This window comes from Homo sapiens, chromosome 7, assembly GCF_000001405.40.
Source record: "Homo sapiens chromosome 7, GRCh38.p14 Primary Assembly".
NCBI lineage: Eukaryota > Metazoa > Chordata > Mammalia > Primates > Hominidae > Homo > Homo sapiens.
The window spans coordinates 149189861-149207865 of NC_000007.14; the positions used below are offsets into that span (position 1 = coordinate 149189861).

At 50.4% G+C, this 18005-nt stretch overlaps 1 protein-coding gene across 3 annotated transcripts in view, besides 6 other annotated features; it reads left to right on the forward strand.

The window, feature by feature from the left end:
- Positions 5354–5643: a silencer, noted in NCBI's record as "silent region_18751". NCBI's record gives its function as "represses an Ori minimal core promoter by ATAC-STARR-seq in GM12878 lymphoblastoid cells {active_cell/tissue: GM12878}" and the evidence as "EXISTENCE:reporter gene assay evidence [ECO:0000049][PMID:35858748]".
- Positions 5354–5783: a biological region, named in NCBI's record as "ReSE screen-validated silencer GRCh37_chr7:148892414-148892735".
- Positions 5462–5783: a silencer, noted in NCBI's record as "fragment chr7:148892414-148892735 (GRCh37/hg19 assembly coordinates)". NCBI's record gives its function as "represses an EF-1alpha promoter that drives an FKBP-Casp9 reporter gene in an ReSE screen in HepG2 liver carcinoma cells {active_cell/tissue: HepG2}" and the evidence as "EXISTENCE:reporter gene assay evidence [ECO:0000049][PMID:32094911]".
- ZNF282 (zinc finger protein 282) overlaps positions 5686–18005 on the forward strand; it is a 30698-nt gene continuing 18378 nt past the window's right edge. For all 3 annotated transcript variants that reach the window (NM_001303481.3, XM_006716151.5, NM_003575.4), the window contains exons 1-4: positions 5686–5894; positions 8473–8892; positions 16836–16962; positions 17491–17610. In NM_001303481.3, coding sequence (NP_001290410.1) covers positions 5730–5894; positions 8473–8892; positions 16836–16962; positions 17491–17610 — 832 coding nt within the window. In that variant the 5' untranslated portion in view covers positions 5686–5729. The remainder of the gene's footprint in view (positions 5895–8472; positions 8893–16835; positions 16963–17490; positions 17611–18005) is intronic.
- Positions 5904–6263: a silencer, noted in NCBI's record as "silent region_18752". NCBI's record gives its function as "represses an Ori minimal core promoter by ATAC-STARR-seq in GM12878 lymphoblastoid cells {active_cell/tissue: GM12878}" and the evidence as "EXISTENCE:reporter gene assay evidence [ECO:0000049][PMID:35858748]".
- Positions 6704–6753: an enhancer, noted in NCBI's record as "active region_26812". NCBI's record gives its function as "activates an Ori minimal core promoter by ATAC-STARR-seq in GM12878 lymphoblastoid cells {active_cell/tissue: GM12878}" and the evidence as "EXISTENCE:reporter gene assay evidence [ECO:0000049][PMID:35858748]".
- Positions 13113–13613: an enhancer, noted in NCBI's record as "H3K27ac hESC enhancer chr7:148900065-148900565 (GRCh37/hg19 assembly coordinates)". NCBI's record gives its function as "activates a minimal SCP1, AML or CMV promoter by ChIP-STARR-seq in primed H9 embryonic stem cells {active_cell/tissue: H9 hESC(primed)}" and the evidence as "EXISTENCE:reporter gene assay evidence [ECO:0000049][PMID:30033119]".

Consider the following 18005-nt stretch of genomic DNA (forward strand, 5'->3'; position numbering starts at 1 on the left):
TAAGAACTGATGAGAAGCCAGTGAACTTTACTCATCTACAGTGTCAAAACTTGTAAAGGTAATGAAATGCTTATTTGAAGGAGACTGAGAATGAACTCAAGAGGAAAAAAGTATTTTCTCCAAACATTGCATATGTATAAAGCAAAAATTTTCAGAAATAAGAGAAGGAGAACATGTATGTGTTTGGGTGTTTAAGTTTGAAATAAAATGTTGCCAAAAGGAGGGTCTGTAAAGGGCAGAGATATTAAAAAAATGCCTTTGCTAGAGCAAATTGCCCTAAAACTTTATAATACAAAATATTTGACTGTATTTCTCCCCCAACCCCACATTAATACTTTCTGCCCCTTTAAGTGGTCTGGGAGCTTTGTCACCTTACTCCTAGTGCCCATCCCCTCCATAAAGCCCTGCCTCTGATTTTTTTTATCACACTGAGGCTGTCACTTGTATTGTAACCTAAATTGTTGCTTGGTCCAATGCAGTGGTTCATGCCTGTAACCCCAGCACTTTGGGAGGCCAAGGCAGGCAGATTGCCTGAGTTCAGGAGTCGAGACCAGCCTGGGCAACATGGTGAAACTCCGTCTCTACTAAAATACAAAAAAATTGGCTGAGTATGGTGGCACGTGCCTGTAGTCCCAGCTACTCGGGAGGCTGAGGCAGGAGAATAGCTTGAACCCGGGAGGCGGAGGTTGCAGTGATTGGGTGACACAGCAAGACTCTGTCTCCAAAAAAAAAGAGTTACTCTTCCTTGGAGTTTGGCATAACTAGGCACAGTGTCCTAAAATGAAGGTGGAAAGCTGTGACCAGGGACATGCCAGTGGTGGAGGAAGCCTGAGAAGCTGAGCTGCCTTCCTTTCCCTATCCCGGTGACCACATTGTACTTCGTAGCCTGCTCATTAAATTAGGTATGGGGCAAAAAACCAAGATAGGAGTGCAAATTTGGTTACCCTCTTCACTTAACTAACAGTGAATCTAGAGGTTTTCTTCCTCAAATAAAGCTTTATTGCAGTTGTTGGAAAGACGCAGAGCACCAGAAATCTTTAGGAAATAGTAGACATAAATGTTCTGGCGTTGATGCATCCCCTCTCCATTGGCCTCTCCTGTATTTTTTTTTTTTGAAGTGAACATAAACTCAAGATTTTATTGTATTCATAATAAAAGATGACACTTAGAACTGGATCACTTGGCCCTTTTTCCGGAAAATCGGCTTAGTTTGCCCACCATAGCCACTCTGCTTCCTGTCATAACGCCGCTTTCCCTGGGCATGCAGAGAATCCTTGCCCTTCTTGTACTGTGTCACTTTATGGGGTTGGTGCTTGCCACACTTCTTACAGAAAGTCCGTCGGGTTTTAGGGACGTTAACCATGCTTGCGTGAGCGCTATCGGCACGGAAAGAAAGAAGCCGCGCCGCAAACGGAAGTATACCTTTTTTTTTTTTTTTTTTTTTTTTTTTTTTGAGATGGAGTCTCACTCTGTCGCCAGGCTGGAGTGCAGTGGTGCGATCTCGGCTCACTGCAAGCTCCGCCTCCCGGGTTCACGCCATTCTCCTGCCTCAGCCTCCCGAGTAGCTGAGACTACAGGCGCCCGCCACCACGCCCGGCTAATTTTTTTGCATTTTTAGTAGAGATGGGGTTTCACCGTGTTAGCCAGGATGGTCTCGATCTCCTGACCTCGTGATCTGCGCACCTCGGCCTCCCAAAGTGCTGGGATTACAGGCGTGAGCCACCGCGCCCGGCCTCTCCTGTATTCTTTAGTTCAGCATCTATCACTTCAAATATCCTGTCCAGAGCAGTAACAATAAAATTCCTAGGGGAGGGGATGAAAAGCAGTCAGTTCCCACCTGAGAGACTGAGGGGCCAGGCCTGGGTCCTTCCCTAACAAGAAACGTGTGTTAACCGTGATACATGGCATTTATAATCCACTTTATCCAGTTGCTCATTCTGCTCCTCGGTACGTTAGATAACTGTCTCCTAGTCACCCAGTGATTTCCGGAAACCAGTCTTATGACTGAACACTTCTCCCAGTGCAGGGTCTCTCCCACTCTTGGGGATCTCTCTGTCTCATCAGTCCGTTGATCATGGGAGGACCTATAACGGGGCCCACAGCCTGTGCAGCTACAGCAGCTTCCTCCTCATTCCCTGCTTGTTTTCCTTCTGGGAAGTTCTCCTTAATCACTCCCTTCACTACCTTCCTGCTGGTATCCACTACGGCCTTTTATGGCCTGTGGTTGCTAGGCTTGGTGGTTATAAAATAATGTTAGTGGCCAGGTGCGGTGGCTCATGCTTGTAATCCCAGCACTTGGGGAGGCCAAGGCGGGTGGATCATGTGAGGTCAAGAGTTTGAGACCAGCCTGGCCAACATGGTGAAACCCCACCTCTACTAAAAATACAAAAATTAGCTGGGCATGGTGGCAAGCGCCTGTAATCCCAGCTACTCGGGAGGCTGAGGCAGGAGAATTGTTTGAACTTGGGAGACGGAGGTTGCAGTGAGCCGAGATTGAGCCACTGCATTCCATCCTGGGTGACAGAGTGAGACTCTGTCTCAAAAATAAATAAAATAAAATATTGCAAGTACAATGAAGCCTGTGCATTTAAATTGTTTGAGTTGAGTAGCTTTGCTCATATATCTCTTTTTTTTTTTTTTTGAGACCGAGTCTTGCTCTGTCGCCAGGCTGGAGTACAGTGGAAGGATCTCGGTTCACTGCAACTTCCACCTCCTGGGCTCAAGCGACTCTTCTGCCTCAGCCTCCAGAGTAGCTGGGACTACAGGCGCACACCACCATGCCTGGCTAAGTTTTGTATTTTTAGTAGAGATGGGGTTTCACCATATTGGCCAGGCTGGTCTCAAACTCTTGACCTCATGATTTGCCCGCCTCGGCTTCCCAAAGTACTGGGATCATCTTAACAATGAATGGGACCTCTAGCTCTGAGCAACTACTCTGGTCACAAAGGGTGATAGTGTTGATGGCTGCATGAAAATCCACCCGCTGTGAAGGAGAAATGTGAAGTAGACACACTACAGCGATGTCTTACTATGTAACAAAGGACATCGTTATAACTAGTTAAGTGCTTAGGAAGGGAAGTCATTTTAAAGGCTTTATACAGAAAAGATAGCATAAATGTTTGGGACTAACCTAGTCCTTCCTTTATCACCTCTAGGAAAGAGAAAAGATAGTTGATAATCTACAGTGCAGAAGACGTGTTCTGAAATGTGGCTCGCTGGTGGAAATGAATTTGCCTAGAGCTTTTCAGACTTAACTTGCCTGGTTCCTCTAATAAAAGTGGACGTGATGTTTACAATCAGGGCCAGGAAGCAGGGAAGGAAATCACTGACTTCTGGGAGCATGGACTTTACTGGCCTATAAGCTCCTTGAGGATAATCTTAAGTCTGTGAATACTCATTTCTGTATCCTAGAAGTGTGCCTAGCAGAGAAAGTACTTGGTAACTGTTCTTCTGAATATGGCCTTCTAAGCACATGTCTCACGTAGGCCAATAATGTCCTTTATTTTATGAAGTGCAGTGGAACTTAAAGGTACTAGCAGGTCTGCTTCCACACAAGGTGATGAGCCTCAGAGATCTCTTCCTTAACAAGACAGGGACTGGTCCTTTAGGAAAACAAAGTAAATACTATTTTGAGAATAATTACAAAAACACCTTTTGGGGGTAACTATCTTTGCAGAATGCTCGCTATGTGCCAGGCACAATTCTCATTTAATTTTACAACATTAAAATAGAGTTGCCATTATTTTCTTCATTTATATATGAAGAGAATGAGGCTCAGAGAAGTTAAATAAGTTGCTCAAAGTCATAGCTAGTGAGTGGTGATTTTGGGATTTAAACTCAGGTGTATGCAACTGCAAAGCTCACCCTCTTCCTAAACAGTACCTGGCACACAGTAGGTGTTCAATAAATACATTTGGAATGACTGAATTTTCCCCTCCTCCATCTTCATCAGCTTATACTGGCCTCTCCCTGGCTCCTCCTCTGACCTGGCCTGATGTTTCAAAGTGACACTGACCTGCCTTTAAAGGGTTTTATTTGTAGAGAAGGGATCTCGCTGTGTCACCCAGGCTGGTCTTGAACTCCTGGCCTCAGCCTTGGCCTCCAAAGTGTTGGGATTACAGGTGTGAGCCACCATGACTGCCCGATTTAAAGGTTTATTTATTTATTTATTTGACACAGGATCTTTGCTATGCCGCCCAAGCTGGAGCACAACGGCACAATCACAGCTCACTGCAACCTCCAACTCCTGAGTTCAAGCAATCCTACAGCCTTAGCCTCCTGAGTAACTAGGAGTACAGGCATTAGCCATCATGCCCGGGTAATTTTTATTTTTTATTTTATTATTATTATTATTATTTTTTTTTGAGACGGAGTCTTGCTCTGTTGCCCAGGCTAGAGTGCAGTGGCGCGATCTCGGCTCACTGCAAGCTCCGCCTCCCGGGTTCACGCCATTCTCCTGCCTCAGCCTCCCGAGTAGCTGGGACTACAGGCGCCGCCACCACACCCGGCTAATTTTTTTGTATTTTTAGTAGAGACGGGGTTTCACCGTGTTAGCCAGGATGGTCTCGATCTCCTGACCTCGTGATCCGCCCGTCTTGGCCTCCCAAAGTGCTGGGATTACAGGCGTGAGCCACGGCGCCCGGCCTTATTATTATTTTTTGAGATGGAGTCTCGCTCTGTTGCCCAGGCTGGAGCGCACTGGCGCGATCTTGGCTCACTGCAACCTCCGCTTCGGAGGTTGAAGCGATTCTCCTGCCTCAGCCTCCCGAGTAGCTAGGATTATAGGCCCACGCCACCACGCCCGGCTAATCTTTTTGTATTTTTAGTAGAGACGGGGTTTCACCATGTTGGCCAGGCTGGTCTCGAACTCCTGACCTCAGGTGATCCGCCTGCCTCAGCCTCCCAATGTGCTGGGATTACAGATGTGAGCCACCGCGCTCGGCTAATTTTTATTTTTTATAGGGATGGGGTGTCAATATGTTGCTCAGTCTGGTCTCGAACTCCTGGGCTCAAGTCGTTCTCCTGCTTCAGCCTCTCAGAGTGCTGAGATTACAGGTGTGAGGCACCACGCCCAACCCAATTTCAAGGTGTTTGAAGAGGCCACTGTTAAAATGCACTGCACCTTACCTGGGAGAAAGAGCTCAGCCCTCTTTTGACACCTTAACATGAATCACTTCTCTATCATCCATAACAGTGCAAAAGCTCTGGGATGGGTCCAGGTAAATCTGGATTGGGAAGAAGGGGAGTGGGAGGTAAAGTCTGCAAAGGAGTGAGGGAAGGCAGAAGGCCAGAAGAAAGTGTCTGAAGACAGAATTACTCCTGCAAAATTTTCACAAGGGTCAGGCACTATTTTCTCCCGGGATGCCCAATACATTTGCAGAATTAACAGTAATCAAGCCCACAGTCCAGGTCCTCGCATAGTTTGGGCCTTTAAAGTCGGCCATCCCAGATTGAGGGGGCCTGACCCCTGGGCGAGGCCGCCGCCTCTCAGTTTTGGGGCGGTGGCGACCCCAGTCCGGGAGTGGCCCCGGTAGGTCCCCGCAGGCGGGCAGGAGCTCCGAGGCCATTGGCTGGCGCGCGGGCTGCCAAGGGGCGGGGAGCGCCGCCGAAGGGGACTGTTTGCTCCTACGGGCTGTAGATGGAGCTGTCCGGCCCCGGAGAGGGGGAAGGCGCCTGGAAAACGTTCTTCTTCTCCCTGGCCGACCCGAGCGGGGAACAGCACTCCCAGGATGCAGTTTGTGTCAACACGGCCGCAGCCTCAGCAGCTGGGCATCCAGGGCCTGGGGCTGGACAGCGGGAGCTGGAGCTGGGCCCAGGCTCTGCCCCCGGAGGAGGTCTGCCACCAGGAGCCGGCGCTGCGCGGGGAAATGGCCGAGGGAATGCCGCCCATGCAGGTGGGAGAACCCCGCCGGCGCCATGGCCGCGCTGCCGTGGGGGCGGGGCGCGGGCTGGGCCGCGGGACCGGGCCGCGCCGTCCTCCGGTAGCCTTGCGGCGCCCTCCCAGCTTCCGCGCCCAGGCGAGGCCCGAGGCGGGCGGGGCACGGCCGGGCTGCGCGGCGGGCAGGACGGAGCGGGCCCGACGCAGGCCCGGAAGGGCAGGCCTGGCCCGCGCGGCGCGGAGCAGCGGTCGCCGGGCCCAAGTGCGGAGGCCCCGCGGGGCGGGGGCCGGGACCGTCCTTTCCGGGACCTGGCAGAGCTCTGACCCTGTGGCTGAGCCCCGGCTTGGGGCTCCCTTTGCGCCCGGCCGGCGGAGAGCTTCGCGGGCAGTGCTTCCGCCCGGCCGCAGAAGTGAATGCCTCGTTCGTGTTTACACGGTGGCCAATTTGACGGGGATATTTTTTAAATGTTTGATTACCACCTTTCACCAAGTGTAATGAGTAATTCACTCTCCCCCTGCACCGGGTGTGATCCAGGGAGGGGGCCATGGAGAGATGACTTCGGGGTCTTTCCTGCGGTTGACAAACTTGGCCGCATGTTGGAATGGCCTGGGCAGCTTTTAAGACTCCTGAGCCCTTGCCTGGTCCCAGAGCTCAGGGTCTCTGACGGGTGAGAGTAGCACCAGGCATTTCTTCAGGCTCCATCGATGATCTCCGTGGGCAGAACCGGTGCTCCAGAATTGGGTATAAAACCAGGGGAGGTGGATCCTCAGAGAGGCCTGAAAGCTTGCCCAGGGAAGACTCTCTGGGCCCACCCTGGGGCTGGGCTGCTCAGGGGCCCCTCTGCTCACCACGCGGCTCTCAGCCAGGTGCTAACGAGGGAGCCAGGGGCTGCTGTGTTGTGTTTGATCATTTTCAGGGTTAGGGCTTCAAACCCGAGAAAACTAAACTGGGCCCCGGGACTTTCTTAACTTCTACTGTGGACTCTGTCCCCTTCTGTGGGCTAGGGCGGAGTGGAGCCTCTGTGATGGAGGAATGGGTGCTTTTGATGGAAACACCAGCACCTCTTACTGGTATTACAGGGCCTGGCGATCCTAGGGCCCTGCTCTCCACTCTGCTGTGTCCCGGAGCAGGTCTGCCCCGGAGCAGGGCTGCTCTTGAGTCAGAGAGTGGGGCTGGTCTGCCCAGATCGCCCCAAGCAGCAGGCCTCCCCTTTTCCTAGCCTGAGGGCCTTTTCTGCAGCCATCGGGAGGACAGAAAATGACACCTCTTCCTGTCCCAGGTGTGAAGGAGAGTCGGCTGCCAGCCCATGTGGTCCAGTGAGCCCTGAGTCTGACACCAGGTCCCAGATGACCAGTGAACTGTCACCAGCCTCAACCAGCCCCCCTTAGCCATAGGTCTCAGCTCTCAATTGCACCAATTAGTTTACCCTTCTGGGGTGAGGGCTCTGTGCTGGAAGATAAAAGGGGGAGTCCCCAGGCCATGGGGCACCCCTTCCCCAGGAAGCAAGGAGGGGTCCCAGAGGAGTTTTTCTTTCTCTTGGTCCTCTTGGGTGTGAGGGACATCCCCTCTTCACCTCTAATGAGTGACCTTTTTTAGTGAACCTATTTTCAATTTGGAAAATGTTTATGAAACAGTAGTTGTATATGGGGGGAAGCTGCTTTTCTGCCCTAGCTTGGGCTCTCCGGTCTTTTCCTTGACTGCAGCCCTGGTAGGAATGTGGTGGGTTTTTTTGTTGTTTATTTGTTTGTTCCGAGACGGAGTCTTGCTCTGTTGCCCAGGCTGGAGTGCAGTGGCACCATCTCGGCTCACTGCAACCTCCGCTTCCCAGGTTCAAGCGATTCTCCTGCCTCAGCCTCCCAAGTAGCTGGGATTACAGGAGCCCACCACCACACCCGGCTAATTTTTGTGTTTTTAGTAGAGACAGGGTTTCGCCATGTTGGCCAGGCTGGTCTTGAACTCCTGACCTCAAGTGAGCTGCCTGCCTTGGCCTCCCAAAGTGCTGGGAAGGTGTGAGCCACTGCACCTGGCCAGGAATGTGTTTTTTGTTACCTGCAGCATCTAGAGCTGCCCCAGCTGGCAGTGCAGGGAGGCGCTGCGGAGTGACCAGCTGCCTCCCTGTGCTTCAGTTTCATCATCTTTAAGGCAGAGATCATCATTCTTGCCCTAACCTGCTGAGAGATTGCTGGGAAGATTAGCGTCAGCTAACTTACATCAAAGTTCTTGGAAACATAAAACACTAGGCAAATACAAAGTTCGTCATTAAGGCTAGCCCTTGAAGAAATCAGTTGGTCTATTCAAAGAAAGTGGCCTGTGACATTTTAGGCAGGGGTTGCAGCCTTAACTTGCTAAGGGTCAATGTGGGTGAACCAGTGACCAGCCTGACTCACCTAGGCAGGAGATGGGAGAGTGTTGAGTTGGGTGGGTGGGTGAGTGGGTAGCTGTTGCTGGGGGTGTTAGTGTATCCTGAGTTACGGGGGCCTGGCAGAAGAAAGACGACATGTAGCATCTGATTAGTTGACCCCTGTTCCCAGCTGACTTCCCCGGCTCACACAAGGTCTCATCCTGGGTTGTCGCTTTCTCCCTCTGCATACAGGCTCAAGAATGGGACATGGACGCCCGGCGGCCAATGCCTTTTCAGTTCCCACCCTTTCCAGATAGGGCACCTGTCTTCCCCGACCGCATGATGCGAGAGCCCCAGTTGCCCACAGCAGAGATCTCACTCTGGACTGTGGTGGCTGCCATTCAGGCTGTGGAGAGGAAGGTGGATGCCCAGGCCAGCCAGCTGCTGAACCTGGAGGGGCGCACGGGGACAGCCGAGAAGAAGCTGGCCGACTGTGAAAAGACGGCCGTGGAATTTGGGAACCACATGGAGAGCAAGTGGGCCGTGCTGGGGACCCTGCTGCAGGAGTACGGGCTGCTGCAGAGGCGGCTGGAGAACTTGGAGAACTTGCTGCGCAACAGGAACTTCTGGGTCCTGCGGCTGCCCCCGGGCAGCAAGGGGGAGGCCCCCAAGGTATGTGGTGGTCCCTGGGGCAGGGATAGAGGTGAGGAACAGCACAGGTGCATAAAATTCTTGATTTCATTTTGTCAGCCCTTCTCATAAACTTCTCTGGCTCCCCGTTATCCAATTTCAGTGTCTTCTTAAAGCCTGTCTCCACTGAAACAACCTGGTCTTGGACGTTCTACCCCAGCAAGGCTCACTCCATTCATTCCCCACAGTCTGCATTTCTGTCTGGGAGCCTTTGCTCTCGCTGTTCCTAGACCCCTCTGAGTTGTCTGGTTGTCTGCAAGTTCTTGCAGCTCTTCACTCCTTGGTTTTCCCACTTGACACCTACCAGCGATCATGTGTCATTGGCTGTCTTGGTATATGCTCACCGGAATGTGGCTGGAGTCGCACCTCAAACCAGGCTGCCTGGAGTTGCTTTCAAGTCGTAGTCACTTATCTCAGGGGGGCCCTTCTTAAAGTTCAGAATGCACACTCCGTATCTTACTCCGTTCCCTCTCCTGCTTTCCTCCCGGATCCTCAATGCTGCTTTTCAGTTCACTGAGAGAACGGAGTCACCCAGAAGAGGCGTCCACATGCAGCCAGCTTGTTCTTCCATCTGCTGCTCGGTGGCCACAGACTCTGCTTTCCCTTGTTCCTGTGGCTTGATGTCCCCTGCCCACCCCAGGAGGTCACCCCCAGCGTCTCTCTCCTTTCTCCTCTGAGTCATCAGCTCTCCCCCCTCTGCTGGGCTATTCCCACCAGCATGTGACTGTTCTGTCCTGCTGTCCGTCTTTAACAGAAAACCTCCCTGGGCCCTGCATCTACCTGCATTGGTGCCTCATTTCTCCACTCCTCTTTAGAGCAGAACCCCTTGAAAGAGTTGTCTATACTTGTTGTCTCCAATTCTTTCTTCCCCATTTTCTCTCCTTCCCTCCCTTTTCCCCTTCTCTTTATTATAGAATATTCAAATAAAAATAGACAGAATAGTATAATGGGTCCCCATGTATCCAAATTCCAGCTGCATTAGCTGCTAACTCTTGGCCAGTCTTGTTTCACCTAAATCCCTGCCCACTTCCCCACTCCCATTTTATTTTGAAGCAAACCCCAGACATTAGTCATTTCCTTTGCAAATATGTCAGTATTAGCTCAAAAGGTAAAGACTCTTTTTTTTTTAAGTGATAATCTCAATGTTATTACCACCACCACCATAGTAAAAGCTTCAGCCTAGATCACTGTCTAGCCAGTGATTAGATTTTCAGTTGTTTCAATTTTTAAAAACATTTTTTTAGTTTGAATTAGGATTCAAGTAATGTCCACACATTATGTTTGAGATGTCTCTTAAGTCTTTTTTAATCTGCGGGCATCTCTTCCATCTATTATTTTTCCTTTCAGTTTATCTGGAAGGAATTGGGCCACCTGTCCTGTTTTGCATCTCGCTGTCTGGATTCCACTGATTACGTCCCCTGTGGTCTCATTTAACATGTTCCTCTATTCTCAGTATTCCAGTTGATTGGTAACTGGATCTTTCTCTCTGGAACGCACTCTGATCAGGCCTTTGCTCACTAATGATGTCCGTGGTGTTACAGCCAGTGGTTGCTTCTCAGTCTTCATCCTCCCTGTCCTGTCAGCAGCATTGTGTGTAGGTGACCACTCTCTCCGTGAAACCCCTTGCCGTGGCTTCTGGGACACCTCTCTCTGCTGAGTCTTTTCCTACCTCACCAGCTGCTGTGTCTCATTGTTTGCCAATTTTGCCTCCTTTGGCCAGCTTTCTAATGCATGGAGTGGGCCAGACCTCTGTCTTGGCCTTTTGCTCTTTATTTACTCTCCTCCCTCATGACTGCATCCCGTCTCACAGTCTTTATTATTTATTTATTTATTTATTTTTTTTGAGACAGAGTCCCGCTCTGTTGCCCAGACTGGAGTGCAGTGACGTGATCTTGGCTCACTGCAACCTCTGCCTCCAGGGTTCAAGTGATTCTCCTGCCTCAGCTGCCCTAGTAGGTGGGATTACAGGCATCTGCCACCATGCCCACCTAATTTTTTGTATTTTTAGGGGAGACGGGGTTTCACCATGTTGGCCAGGCTGGTCTCGAACTCCTGACCTCAGGTGATCCACCTGCCTGGGCCTCCCAAAGTGCTGAGGTTACAGGCGTGAGCCACCACGCCCAGCTAGTCTCACATTATTAAAAGCAATCTGTATGCTCTCACCTCCCAAATAGATGCTTTCTCTCCCCTGCTCCCTTTCTATATGTTGCCCAGCTTTCTTTCTGGAATGCCAGATTCACATTCCTACCTATTAATTCATTTGGATGTCAGTAAATCTTAGATTTAACATGTCCAAAGTGAACTGCGGATCGCCTGCCTGAGACCTGTTCTACCTGAAGTTGTCCTCATCTCCGTTGATGACGGATGGTTCCATCCTTTCAAGTGCTCAGGCCAAAGCCTTGGAGTCATACTTGTCTCCTCTCTTTCTCACACCCTACTTCCAATCTATTAGTAAATACCCTGATTTTTCTTCAGAATATATCCACAACCTGGCCACTCCTCACCACCTCCACTCCCATCGCCATCGTCTGGTCCCAGGCACCATGGTCTTTCATCTGATTTTTGCCATGGCCTCCTGGTGGGTCTCATTGTCTTCATCCTTGTCCCCCCACCCATACAGTCTATCTCAACACAGCAGCCAGAGTGATCCTTTGAAAATGTGAAGCAGTCACATCACACCTCTGCTTAAACCTCCCAAATGGCTGGGCACGGTGGCTCACGCCCATAATCCCAGCACTTTGGAAGGCCGGGCAGGTGGGTCATGTGAGATCAGGAGTTCAAGACCAGCCTGGCCAACATGGTGAAACCCCATCTCTACTAAAAATACAAAAATTAGCTGGGCATGGTGGCAGGCACCTGTAATCCCAGCTACTCAGGAGGCTGAGGCAGGAGAATTGCTTGAACCTGGGAGGCAGAGGCTGCAGTGAGCTGAGATCTTACCACTGCACTCCAGCCTGGGTGACAGAGTGAGAATCTGTCTTAAAAAAAACCCAAAAAACACCTCCCAAATGGCTTCCCATCTGATTAGAATAAAAGCCCATGTCTGTTTATGGCCCACGCTCTCTTCCCCTGCCTCTCTGACCTCCTCTGCATCCACTCCCTCCTGCTCACTCCCATCTGTGCTGTTCTGCCAGCACACCACGTGCGCCCCCAGCTCAGGGACTCTCCACTGAGAAGCTCCTGCCCTGAATATCTGCATGGCCGTCCTCGCCACCTCTTCCATCAGGGTCTGCTGAGGTGCCACTTCATCAGCATGCCCTTCTACAACCATCCTATATGAAAGAACCACGTCCCCCAAGCACACTCGTCTCCCTGCCCTTACTCGAATTTTCTACAAAGCACTTTTGCCATTGACATCTTAAATATTTAAGATATGCTTCTTTTTTTTTTTTTTTTTTTTGAGACAGAGTCTTGCCCAGGCTGGAGGGCAGTGGTACAATCTCGGCTCACTGCAACTTCTGCCTCCCAGGTTCAAGCGATTCTCCTGCCTCAGCCTCCCGAGTAGCTGGAATAACAGGCATGTGCCACCATGCCCGGCTAATTTTTCTTTTTTTTTTTTGAGACGGAGTCTTGCTCTATTGCCCAAGCTGGAGTGCAGTGGTGCGAACTCGGCTCACTGTAAGCTCTGCCTCCCGGGTTCACACCATTCTCCGGCCTCAGCCTCCCAAGTAGCTGGGATTACAGGCACACATCACCACGCCCGGCTAATTTTTCTATTTTTTTTTAGTAGAGACGGGGTTTCACTATGTTGGTCAGGCTGGTTTCGAACTCCTGACCTCGTGATCTGCCCGCCTTGGCTTCCCAGAGTGCTGGGATTACAGGTGTGAGCCACCGCGCCTGGCCTAATTTTTGTATTTTTTAGTAGAGACAGGGTTTCACCATGTTGTCCAGGCTGGTCTCAAACTCCTGACCTCAAGTGATCCATCCGCCTCAGCCTCCCAAAGTGCTGGGATTACAGGCGTGAACCACTGCACCTGGCCTTATGATATTATTCTTAAGTTTTGTATTGCTTTTTTTGTCTTCTTGGTTGGTTTTCCCCAACCAGAGTGTAAATTCTGCTTGGTTGCCTGCTGCATCCCTGTGCCTGGAATGGTACCTGGCTTAGACTGGTATGCAAAAAATGTTTGTGGAGTGCCTCTCTCCAGCTGGAGAGCTAACAGCTTCCTGGCAGGGACTGGGTCTTGTGTGTCTCTGTGTCTGCTGAGGCAACCACCCCAATGACTTTGCCAGAGGAGTTGTTTGACGTTACTCATTGAGGCTTCACAGAACTGAGTTGTAATCGTGGCTCTGGTTCCTCAGCAAAACATTTCCTGGCACTGCAGCCACAGAGGCTGGTTTTTAGTATGGTTTTGCATATGTCGCTTGTCTAGCACAATCAGCATTTACGTACACACTGCCCTTTTCTTTTGTCTGTTCTGTGTGTCTCAGCGCATATCCTTGTGTGGCACTGTGGCGTGTTCTGTGCGCTGCATTAGGCATTAGAGGAGACTTGACTTGACAAGGGCTCTTACAGAATAATGAAATGGTTTTGGGGTCTGGAATCAGAGGACTTGGGTTTAAATCCTGACTTTGCCACTTACTGGTTTTTTGTTTTTTTGGGACGGTCTCACATTGTCATCCAGGCTGGAGTACAGTTATACAATCATAGCTCATGCAGCTTTGAACTCCTGGGCTCAAGCAATCCTTCCACCTCAGTCTCTCAATTAATTAGGACTATAGGCACATGCCACCACACCCAGTTAAGTTTTTTATTTATTTTTATTCTTTGTAGTGACAGGGTCTTGCTTTGTTGCCGAGGCTGGTCTTGAACTTCTGGGCTCAAGCAGTCTTCCTGCCTTGGCTTCCCAAAGTGCTGGGATTATAGGCTTGAGCCACTGCATGAGGCCTGCTTGTACTGATTTTCCTATCATTGGTCAAATGTATTTTTTGTTGTTTCTGAGCCTCCTTAATTCCTCTTTTGAAGGAAGTGAAGTATAAACAATTCAGTAAATTCCCAGCTGGTTTCTCTGAGTTTCAGGGTTATTATCAATAAAACGAAGATGATAATATGCTTACTTCATGGAGTTGTGAGGATTAATTAATTTTATTTGTGGGAAGACACTATGTAGATTATTGTGTTAGTTACCTATTGCTGTATAACAGATTACCTCAAAATGTAGCAGCCCAGCCTAAAAAATAATTATTTATCATCTCACCATTTCTGTGGGTCAGGAACTGGGGAGCAGCTTAGGTGAGTGGGTCTGGCTCAGAGTCCCATGAGGTTACAGTCAAGCTGTTGAATGGGGCAGCAGTTATCTGAAGGTTTGACTGGGGCTGGAGGGCCTGATTCCGGCATGGCTCACTCACGTACCTGTTGGTGGGAGGCACGTGGTCTTGGGGGAGGAAGAGGAAAAAGTAAAAAAGACACGTGCCAGATGGACGGGAGGCAACATAATTACGGGAACCAAGCAGGATAAAATTCTAGAAAGATGATTTGACCTTTCGAAGAGGTCAGAATTGTTGAGGATTTCAACAGAAGGTCGCTGATGATCTTCCAGAGTGTGGTTTCAGAGAATGGAAGGTACAGAGGCAGAATCTAAGGGGGTAAAGAATGCATAGATGGTGAAGAGGAAAAAACAGAATGTGTCTCTTGGGATGTTCCCAGTGAATGGGGAGGGCAGAGTGACCTGAGGGAGCAGCGTGTTGAGGGAAGGTTTTTCTGAGGTTGGAATGACCCTGAAGGACGGAGCCAGTAGAGAGGGAGAAACTGATGACTTAGATTAAGCTTCACAGGCAGGAGGTGGAGGAAGAGGTGAAGGGCACATACCGTCGGCCTTGGATTTGCAAGGAGAGGGGCAAGAAAGGAGCTTGCCGGCGCCTACCTGAGATCAAAGACAGACAGATGTGGGAGGTCACTTAAAGGTCTGGGAGAATGAAACGTTTGAAACAAGCCTCCCGGAGAACATAGCAAGGTGTCAGCAAGAGACAAACAAGAAGCTTCTGAAGCAGCCGTGAGACAGCGGTATGAATTGGTGGTGGATGTCATCTGCGGAGTTCTAGTAACAGAGAATTAAAATGAAGAAAGGGGGCTGGGCACGGTGGCTCACGCCTGTAATACCAACACTTGGGGAGGCCAAGGCAGGCGGATCACGGGGTCAGGAGATCGAGACCATCCTGGCTAACATGGTGAAACCCTGTCTCTACTAAAATAACAACAACAACAAAAAAATTAGCCAGGCGTGGTGGCACACACCTATAGTCCCAGCTACTGGGGAGGCTGAGGCAGGGGAATTGCTTGAAACTGGGAGGCGGAGGTTGCAGTGAGCCAAGACTGTGCCACTGCACTCCAGCCTGGAGACAGAGCGAGACTCCGTTTCAAAAAAATAAAAATAAAAAACAAAATGAAGAGGCCAGGTGCAGTGGCTCACCCCTGTAATCCCAGCAATTTGGGAGGCTGAGGTGGGTGGATTACAAGGTCAGGAGTTTGAGACCAGCCTGGCCAATATGGCGAAACCCCGTCTCTACTAAAAATACAAAAATTAGCCGGGCGTGGTGGCAAGCGCCTGTAATCCCAGCTACTCGGGAGGCTGAGGCAGGAGAATCACTTGAACTCGGGAAGCAGAGGTTGCAGTGAGCTGGTATCGCGTCACTGCACTCCAGTCTGGGCGACAGCGAGACTCTGTCTCAAAAAATAAATAAATAAAAATAAAAATAAAATGAAGAAAGGGATCTGTATTAATTTTCCCAGGTTGGGGCTTTTCCTGCATCTGGTGGAAGGTCCAGTAGCTAAAGATTCTAGTTCTGATTGTAAAGATGGACAGTGAGTTGTCAGTCCGTAGGGGTGGGGCCATGGCACTGAGGTGTAGACATCGCACCTGCGCATGGCATTCTCAGAGTTACAAGCACCTGGTAAAAGGGCTGACATTTCTAACTTACATAAAGGTGCTGCCCACTCACCATGCTGAGTAGTGGTAGCTGTGCTCCTGACTTTGCCTTTTCTAACTCACCCCAAGGTGCCATACAAGCCAGCTTTGGCCCTGTAAATGCAGATACGTAGATGAATGGACTGTAATCACAGGATGGGGGAGGATTGAGGGGTCGGATTTCAGACCGAGAGTGAAAGGCTGGTTCAGTCGGAATGTGAAAGTGGTAAGAGGGAAGGCTGTGTGTCCAGAGGAGGAAGTTCAGTTATCAAAGTCATGGAAGTGAAACGATTTTGGACAATTCGGTCCAAGTTGAGGTCGTGCTGGTGAGTGGCTGAAGTGAGTGATTGCAAACTGAAATCGGCTTTCTGTAACAGATCCGAACACACTTGTCATCAGTCTGACAAGTGACTGACACCACGCGACGACTCGGGCCGCAGTGGAGCTTCCTGGTGTTGGCACTCGCTGCGCAGCACACTCAAGTATTTATTGATTCCCTACTGTATGCTCCTTGATGATCAAGATAGGGTAGTGAACGAAGTGGACCAAGGTCCTGAACCTTAGCACAGGCCTTAGATTTTATATGCTTTGCTGACAAAGAGGTAACTGTGTGCACAGAGGTGACCTGACCTGAAATACAGGTTTGGTAACCAGGTTTTACTCTACCTGGCTCACGGATACCCACTCTGAGAACCCATTACCCCTCTGTCACCCTGAATACCAAAAGAAGCATATTGACTACTCTTTACCCTCAGGTATCCAGTTGACCTAAAAGTGAAATAACAATGGATGTGGCTAAATGCTTTTTCTAAAAAGGCAGGGTTGACCATCCGTGTTATTGAAAGCATGAGAAGGTCCGGGACAGAGAGGACTGACTCCACTGAGATGGACAGTGGGGACTGGGGAGCCACGGAGAGCAAAGGCCGGGCTTTGGTGGGGAGTGGGTCTTGTGGCCCGCAGGAGAAGGGGAGGTGGTGGGGAGGAACAGGCAGGAGGCGCTAGATTAACCGCTTGTTGGCTTAGGTTCCAGTGACTTTTGTCGACATTGCTGTGTACTTCTCCGAAGACGAGTGGAAGAACTTGGACGAATGGCAGAAGGAGCTTTATAACAACCTTGTTAAGGAGAACTACAAAACCCTCATGTCCCTGGGTAAGGACACCTTCTCTCCTCTTTGGTGAGCCATCTCTGCAGAGGGTTGTGAAATGCTTATTTGTCCACGTTAGCACCGCCTAGGCAGGTTGTTTCATATTTTTATGTAATGGAAACTCAGGAAACCATTTGCTTATAATGCTAGTAGGATAGAACAGTTTACAATAGGATAAAAATTTAAAACCCAGTAACAGGGCCCATTACCATAGAACTCAACGTTACACCACTACCACGTTGGATTACAGTAAAACAGCACCATTCGCACCTCACCACGCACCACATCCCAGCAGCCCGCGGTAAGCCATAGCTGGTCTGATGTTGGCTTTCAGAGACCAGCTCTTCCTACAGTAGAAATTTGGGCATCTATCGACTCGTTTTCAGATTACCCGCCTAACTCGCATAACTGCTGCCAAAGAGGGACACCCAGGAGGAGAGGGGGAGATGGGGTAGGGGAGAGTTCTCCCTTCCCCTTGCTGGATGCGTTGGTCAACTTCACTCAGCCTTTCCCTCCCTCCTCCTCACTTCCAGACGCGGAGGGCTCAGTCCCCAAGCCAGATGCTCCAGTCCAGGCTGAGCCCAGGGAAGAACCTTGTGTGTGGGAGCAGCGCCACCCCGAAGAGAGAGAAATCCCAATGGATCCCGAAGCAGGTGATGGCAGCAGAAGAGAGTGCGGGGTCCAGGGAAGGGCGAGAGAGGACAGCCGGCTTTCCGCACACTGCTGCCGCGAGGCGCCACTGTGTGTGCACCATGGGGCGAGGGTCTTGGGTGGCTCCCAGGGGCCAGTTCTGCCAGAGTCGAAATTTGGTGGTCACTTATAGGAAGAGATCTCAGGGCTCAAAATAGCACCCTGGATATTTGTGGTGTGGTTTGTTAAAGCCGCGTAGCTCTGGACTCTCAAGTAAGCTGGGTGGAGAGACGAGGAAGGGCTTAGGCTTACGCTACCGCCCCAGGCCCGGGCTCAGAGAGGCTGACAGAGGAGGGAAAAAGGAGTCTGCGGCGCATGTGGGGTTTCGCCCCGGCCCGTCGCTTATTGCTTGGCCTAA